This window comes from Homo sapiens, chromosome 4 (genome assembly GCF_000001405.40).
Source record: "Homo sapiens chromosome 4, GRCh38.p14 Primary Assembly".
NCBI lineage: Eukaryota > Metazoa > Chordata > Mammalia > Primates > Hominidae > Homo > Homo sapiens.
In genome coordinates this window covers 1,975,825-1,982,611 of record NC_000004.12, presented here as the reverse complement: position 1 = coordinate 1,982,611, position 6,787 = coordinate 1,975,825, and the positions used below count along the sequence as shown (strand labels likewise).

At 52.7% G+C, this 6,787-nt stretch overlaps 1 protein-coding gene across 19 annotated transcripts in view; it reads right to left on the bottom strand.

Moving 5' to 3' along the window:
• The window catches only part of NSD2 (nuclear receptor binding SET domain protein 2), a 110,800-nt gene continuing 104,432 nt past the window's right edge, over nt 420-6,787 (bottom strand). For all 19 annotated transcript variants that reach the window (NM_001440892.1, XM_047416141.1, XM_047416137.1 and 16 more), the window contains 2 exons: nt 5,933-6,137; nt 420-3,974 (listed from right to left, as the gene is read on the bottom strand). In NM_001440892.1, coding sequence (NP_001427821.1) covers nt 3,703-3,974; nt 5,933-6,137 — 477 coding nt within the window. In that variant the 3' untranslated portion in view covers nt 420-3,702. The remainder of the gene's footprint in view (nt 3,975-5,932; nt 6,138-6,787) is intronic.

Genomic DNA, 6,787 nt, shown 5'->3' with positions numbered 1-6,787 from the left:
CCCTGGCCCACAGGGTGGGGAACAGGTAGGATCAGCCCTCGGGGTACTCCCTTGACTTACTTGGCTGTGGGCCTGGGGACCACCCGGCTCAGCCGACTGCAGGGCTGGGGGACAGCAGTGCTTCCTTCTCTCTAGACCATTTCACCCTTAATGGGAATTTGGGAAGCAAATTATTTCTGAAAGAAGAAGAAAGCATTTTTCCAAAGTCAGTCAGTTATGCCTGCTATTTCCAGTATTTGTTGTTATACTTCCCAAGGTGGCACTGCCTCTCCCCAGCGGGTCAGGTCAAAGGCAAAATGACACAGTCAGGACAGGGAGCCCCACCCATCGGAGGCATCAGTGCCACACCCGATGCTTTGCAATTCAAAGTAACTGGAAAAAAAATCAAACAATCCCATATAAAATAAGTTAAGAAAAAAGCCTTTAAAATGTTTTTAATACAAAAATACTCATACACAATTTTCCAAACACAGCTTTCCATTTTAAATGCTATTTTCCCCCAACTGGCAAGTCTCAACTCTCTATTTCAGTATATCCCTCCCCCCAAAAAGTGAATTTCAAGTTTTTAAGTCTAACTATCAAACCTGGTGACAGCACCCAGTATTCCTAAAAGGAATCTGACCTTACATTGTATGAAGTTTAGACACCAATAGGCACATTTAAGTTTGTATTTAATTTCTGACGGGGCATTTCACACCTCAACAGGGTATGGTGAGGCTGTGACACCCCGTGGACACAGCATTTTACTCTACTGACTAACAAACAGTCATCAACTACACTCATAGGATCAAGATATTTGGCAACTGACAGTCATTTGCATTAACTTGAATTATAAAACAGGTTTAATTCTGGAAAATAAGGTAGTCCTGGAAGATGGGCACTGCACACGCCGGGGTTTAGATGTCAAGACAGACAAACACTGCGAAGGGGACCCAGCCAGCCATGGACGGGTGTCGCCGGAAGAAAGGCCGGCCTGAGGACGGACAGCTGGGTTCTCACTTCAGGTGCCTGAAGAGTTTCCCCCACAGGTGACCACATTTTAAGCTGCCCATTCGGACACATCCCCCTGTGGGCGCACACGGGTGGGTATGGGTTTAGGTGCAGATGCTGGTTTCGGATGCCAAGGAATCCTGAGGGATTGGGGCGGTTTTTGTGTTTTGCTTCACATTAATGATGGAGGATTGAAGCTGATGTTCAGGAAGTCACCACGTCCTCAGAACAAAGCTGGGCAGGGCCGAGAGCCAGCCACACCCACGGTCACAGCTGGGGGCGTGGTCAGCCCCAGTGGCGAGAAACCCTGCAAGCTCAGGGCCGCTACCCCAAAGCCTGGCTCCACTGAGTTATCAACGGGTATTGTAGAGACATTCAAAGTTAGTGTTACTTGCTCATTAGTTTAACAGTTTTTGGAAAGGGGGAGAAACATATTTAAAATGTTTGCATTATTTCCTTCAGAAAAATCATAAAATTTGGAAGTATTATCAAAGCGATTAAAAATCACAAGATTTCACTACTGTCCAACACAAAAATAAGTTAATATCTGCTCCCCAAAGTGCACTGCAAAGCCGATTCTGCTGTTTTGACGTAAGCATTGGTAGTCCCTTACCTGCCGGAAGGGATCTTTTGGGCAAGTGACAGCGGGGCCCTGGGGCCTTCGACTCTAAGGTGTGTGTGGGGACACTGCCCGGCCTGTCCCTAGAACAACCTTCCAAGTTAGGGCATCATAAGGAGCATAAATCTATGAGCCGATCCAGTATTTTCTTAGGACACTTTGGGAGAAGTTAGAGTCTGAACTGGAAAGCACTACTCCCACCCTGTCTTAACCGGCGAGTGCCCCTCAGAGGCCACGGCCGCGCGAGCAAGTCAGTGGCTACACAGCTCGTTTCCCCTGGGTCCTCTGTGTAGTTAACTTTGCTGGGGACCCTGATGGGAGAAGGGACAGCCACCAGCCAGTGAAACTTCCAGTCAGTGCTCAGGGAGGCGTGGGACCCTGCAGGGCCACACACCCCTGAACCCCACGCTTACAGGTCACAAAACCACGGAGTAGCCACTCTCAGGTCCAAAGACACTGCAGTTTTTACCAAGGCATAAAAGATGCCACAGAAAATTTAACAGGAGCCTCAGCAGCAGTTTTCAAGGGGAGTTCTGTAAACTTCTCTGCAAGATGGATGTGTCCCCCTTAGGTTATTTTAAGAAAAGGCCATAAAAAAGCACCTGCTGCTGAATGTTCTCTCCCTCCCTCCCAGACAAGCAGCCCCTCAGGACACGTGGGCAAAGGCACACATGGTGCCCCCTTCTCAGGGTGCTCCAGACTTCCCAGGGTCAAGGATCCCTCAAAAAAAGAACCAAGTCTTAAAACATATGTAGTACTCAGATAGATAGGTCTCACTCTGTAGAACTGGACCTTTTAAAAACTAAAGTGAAATCTCACAGGAGAGTGGGTGTCATACCTGGCCTAGACCAGTGCCCATAACACACGTACGAGGCACGCACACCTGCCAGGCAGGCCTCCACCCCCAGGACCGCACCTCTCAGTAGGTGCCCTGGCAGAGGGCACATGTGATCAGCAGAGACTGCATCTTCCATCACCAGACCCACAGAGTGCTGAGATGGAAGCCACTCTGGGTGGCAGGAGAGCTAGACTCCGTCTCTCTTTAGACCCACGTGCTGGGGTCCCCGGGGCCTGCAGCGCCCTACGGGGCTCCCTAAGTTGTCACTTCCTGTGCTCTAAGCAGACTGCGGTCTCACGCCCTGCAAAGTCACTCCTTTCGCCATGGAGCTCAGGGCCGCATCAGTAAACACACACTTCAGTCGGTGGTGATTTGTGAAATAGGTTTAGCAAAAATATATTGAGAATAAAAATCAGAAACTGGTAAAGAAAAGCCAAATGAAAAAAATATACAAAGTTATCCCCCAAATGTTGATAAGAACCTAGCGAGTTCAGAAGATAGGCCCAGGTGAGAAGTAGGCCCAACCCGGCCAGGCCTCGAAAGTGCTCCGCGTAAACTACACGTTGAAAGTGGACGTGTTATTGGCATTTCATTCAAATCCATGAGGAGAAAAAACTACGGGAGGAAATCTTACAACACCATTGCTGCCACCACCTGCAGGGCCAGCTTCTCACTAGGATGGAAAAGAAGCGTTTCTGAGGAACAATTCACATTAGTACAAAAAAATGATACAGCCATTTCCAAAGAGCAGAGTAATGATCACAATGGCAGTTTCGAGGAATCCAGGGTCAGTCCTCACACGGGCCTCACCCAGCCTCTCCCGAGTGGCGACGGCGCTGAGAGCCAGAAAGGGGGCAACGCGAAGACGAGTTTCTAGCGACCCTTGGGAAAAGCCTACGCTACACATTTCAGAGGAGATTAAAACATTCCATATGCCAATTAACTTTAACCTAAAAAAATAGAGTGGGAGGGAACCTTGACATTCGGAGAAATTCAAGTGTGGCGGTAACGCTGAGGAGTGAGGCTGTTTGTCCAGGAACGCTGAGCTGGGCTCAGACGGTCATCAGTGCAGACGCAGCGGACGCTGCTGAGGATGGCTCAGTGGTGGGGAGGCGCTCCCTCCCGAGGAGGCCTGTACGTCTGTGTCCTGGCGGCTCGAGCTGGGTCCTCCGGGCCAGTTCATGCTCGCCCTCTCCCGCAGGCAGGGCCGGCCGCCCTGCACCGCCCCTGGATCCGGCCAAGCGGCCGCCTGGCGCTATTTGCCCTCTGTGACTCTCCGCCAGCCCCTCCGCCGCCGCCTCTTCCCCTTCGGCTTCCCTGGCTCTGGGGGGGGCTTCTCAGTCTTGGTGCTTCTGACCGATGCCGCCCCTAAGTCATGCTCACAGCAGTAGGACCGCCCGTCCGGGGTGCAGCTGAAGGCTGTCCCGTCCTGGTGCTCCTTACAGAACGAATTGGGGCAGAGGTGGCAAAATGAAGTCGAAGGTTTGCCACACACGTCACAATGATGCCAAGGACATTCCCACTTCCCTGCAACAGAACACAAGATGTGAGCACACAGAAGTGATGGAATCACGACTTCAACATTATCGTGGTTGAAGATGACTTACAACTGTCAGGTCAAATGAACACAAAATAGTGCTGGCTCCAGCGAACAGGACGGGCAGACAAACTGTCTACCACAGCCCGGGCGGGCTCCCTGGCAGGGCCTGTTGACTCCACAGTACCTGCCAGGCCCCTAAGGACCACCTGTTAGCGTCTCTTTATGTTTCGGCAACTGAGAGGAGCTGTGCCGGGTGCAGGAGTGTCCCCCAGCGCGGCGTGGACAGGCAGGGGCTGCTGTGCTGATTTCCATGTGACCTGCCCTCTCCCAAGGGACTGATTTTCAACTTGGGTATTCATCTTTCTGGCATGACTCTGTAAAAGCTCTGTCACGTTAGGGACCACCCTCTCGCACCCATGGCCAACACTTTTCTCTATCGTGTGTCATCTTTACCGTACAAAAATGTTTTTACACAAATATCTGAATTCTTTTTTTTTTGAGATGGAGTCTAGCTCTGTCGCCCAGGCTGGAGAGCAGTGGCGCAATCTTGGCTCACTGCAGCCTCCGTCTCTTGGGTTCAAGTGATTCTGCTGCCTCACCCTTCCGAGTAGCCAGGATTACAGGCGCCCGCCACCACGACCAGCTAATTTTTCTATGTTCAGTAGAGATGAGGTTTCACCATGTTGGCCAGGCTGCTCTCGAATTCCTGACCTCAAGTGATCCATCCACCTTGGCCTCTCAGAAGTGCTGGGATTAGAGGCATGAGCCACCGTGCCTGGCCTGGATTTTCTTTTTATAGTTTTGTTTTTTGTTTGTTTGGTTTTTTTTTTTTTTGAGTGGAGTCTTGCTCTGTCGCCCAGGCTGGAGTGCAATGGTGCTATCTCAGCTTTCTGCAATCTTGGCTCACTGCAACCTCCGCCTCCCGGGTTCAAGCATTTCTCCTGCCTCAGCCTCCCGAATAGCTGGGATTACAGGTGCATGCCACCACACCAGTCTAATTTTTGTATTTTTAGTAGAGACGGGGTTTCACCATGTTGGTCAGACTGGTCTCGAACTCCTGACCTCAGGTGATCTGCTCACCTTGGCCTCCCAAAGTACTGGGATTACAGGCATGAGCCCCCGCACCTGGCCTCTTTTGGGTTTCTTGTTTTGGGTAAGGGCCATTTAATTTTTCTTCTGTGATTCCACACAGTCAAGAGCCTCATGGCGACACACTGCAAGATTGTAACGGAGGTGGCTGCACCCTTAGGTGTGAGCCATGATGTCTGCGCACCGCCAGAGTCATCTCACGACCCATTTCTCAGACTGTCTCATCACCAAGTGGAACAAGACGCTACTGTTTTCCCACTGGCGCCTGTCATCTCTGAAATGCGGGTGCTGGAAGGTGGAGCCCACTCTACTTTCCCTCAAACAGAGCCAGAGCTGCAGCTCCTTCGTCAACCGGCGGAGCCTCCTGGTGCACAGCACCATCTCTGGGGACAGCCTGCCCTGCACATCCAGGACAGGGGCTCTGGGCCCCTCCATTCCCACTGTAGTGCAGCCAGGCCAGGCCCCTCTGGGCTGCCAGGGAGACACTGTTGTAGAGGCCTTTCTCCTAGGAGGGGCTTTAGTTCCCAGCGTCGCCTCCTTCCTGGCCGCCCCGCCCCCACAGCATGGATGAGGGCCCCAATTCTGCAGCTGGGCCTTGGGCTGCCTGAATCCCTCCTGGAGGTTCCAGGGGCTACCCCGTCACCACATATCTTCTCTGCTCGATGCAGAGATCTAGAATGTGCGGCTGGTGGAACAAAGAAAGGCTCTGCCACCCTGGATCAGGGCCTTCGCTGCATGAGCGCCTGATGTGCCTGCACCCAGATGAGGCCCGGTCAGCAGGAAGAGCGGCAGCAGCCGCCATCAGGAGCCTGCCACACAGACACAGCTGCAAGCCACCGCGAGGCTGCACACCCACCGAAGGGCCGCTTGCCAAGGCCCAGGCAGGACAGGTGGTAGGCCTTGGTGCAGAACTTGCGGTCACACAGCACCAGCTGCCCGCCATCACCGCAGCGGAAGCACTCGTCCTCTGACTGCCTCTTCCCTTCCCCTTTTGCTCTGCGCCGCCTCGTTTTCTTCTTGGTCTTTTTGCCCTTTTCCTCTGATGAAAGGGTCGTCGAGGTCTAGAGTCAAGAATTAAGCACAGATCACCGGAAAGAATTACACAGGCTGAAGCAAATAGGGCAGAAGAGCGAGCTACACTCCAGGAACTTCAGAGATCTCTGCAGGTGCCCAACACTAAGAGGAGAGGAGAGGAGTGTCCTCCTCGTGCTCCCCAGACATCCTTAGACTCACTCGACTCAGCGTGAAAAAGCTGAACAAAGACTACGACTAGAGTGAGCTTTGTCGGAAGCCTGCAATGACGCATCTCAGCAGCATCTCAGCAGACACACAGCTCCAGGATCTGCTGATGGGACCCACTGGCAAAGGAGGCCACCACAGGCAGAACAGCTCCCGCCCGCCACCCAGGGTCTCCTCATTAGGAAATTCCACAGGAACGTGGGCACAGGTGGGCGGCAGTGACCTGAGGGCAGTGACCATCCTCAGCAACACGGCTGAGGACAGACACCGGCTCAGGGCCGAGCTGGTGCCACCGCCAGGCTTTCAGGACCAGGTTCTACACAGCACAGGGAAGGGGTGCAAGAGTGCCCCCCCAAATCTCTGTCCTTCCTGGAACCTTGGAAGGTGACTGTATTTGGAAATAGGGTCATTGTCAATGAGATCTGTTAAGATGGGGTCACACGGTAGCAGGGCAGGCGCTAAGTCAACAGGA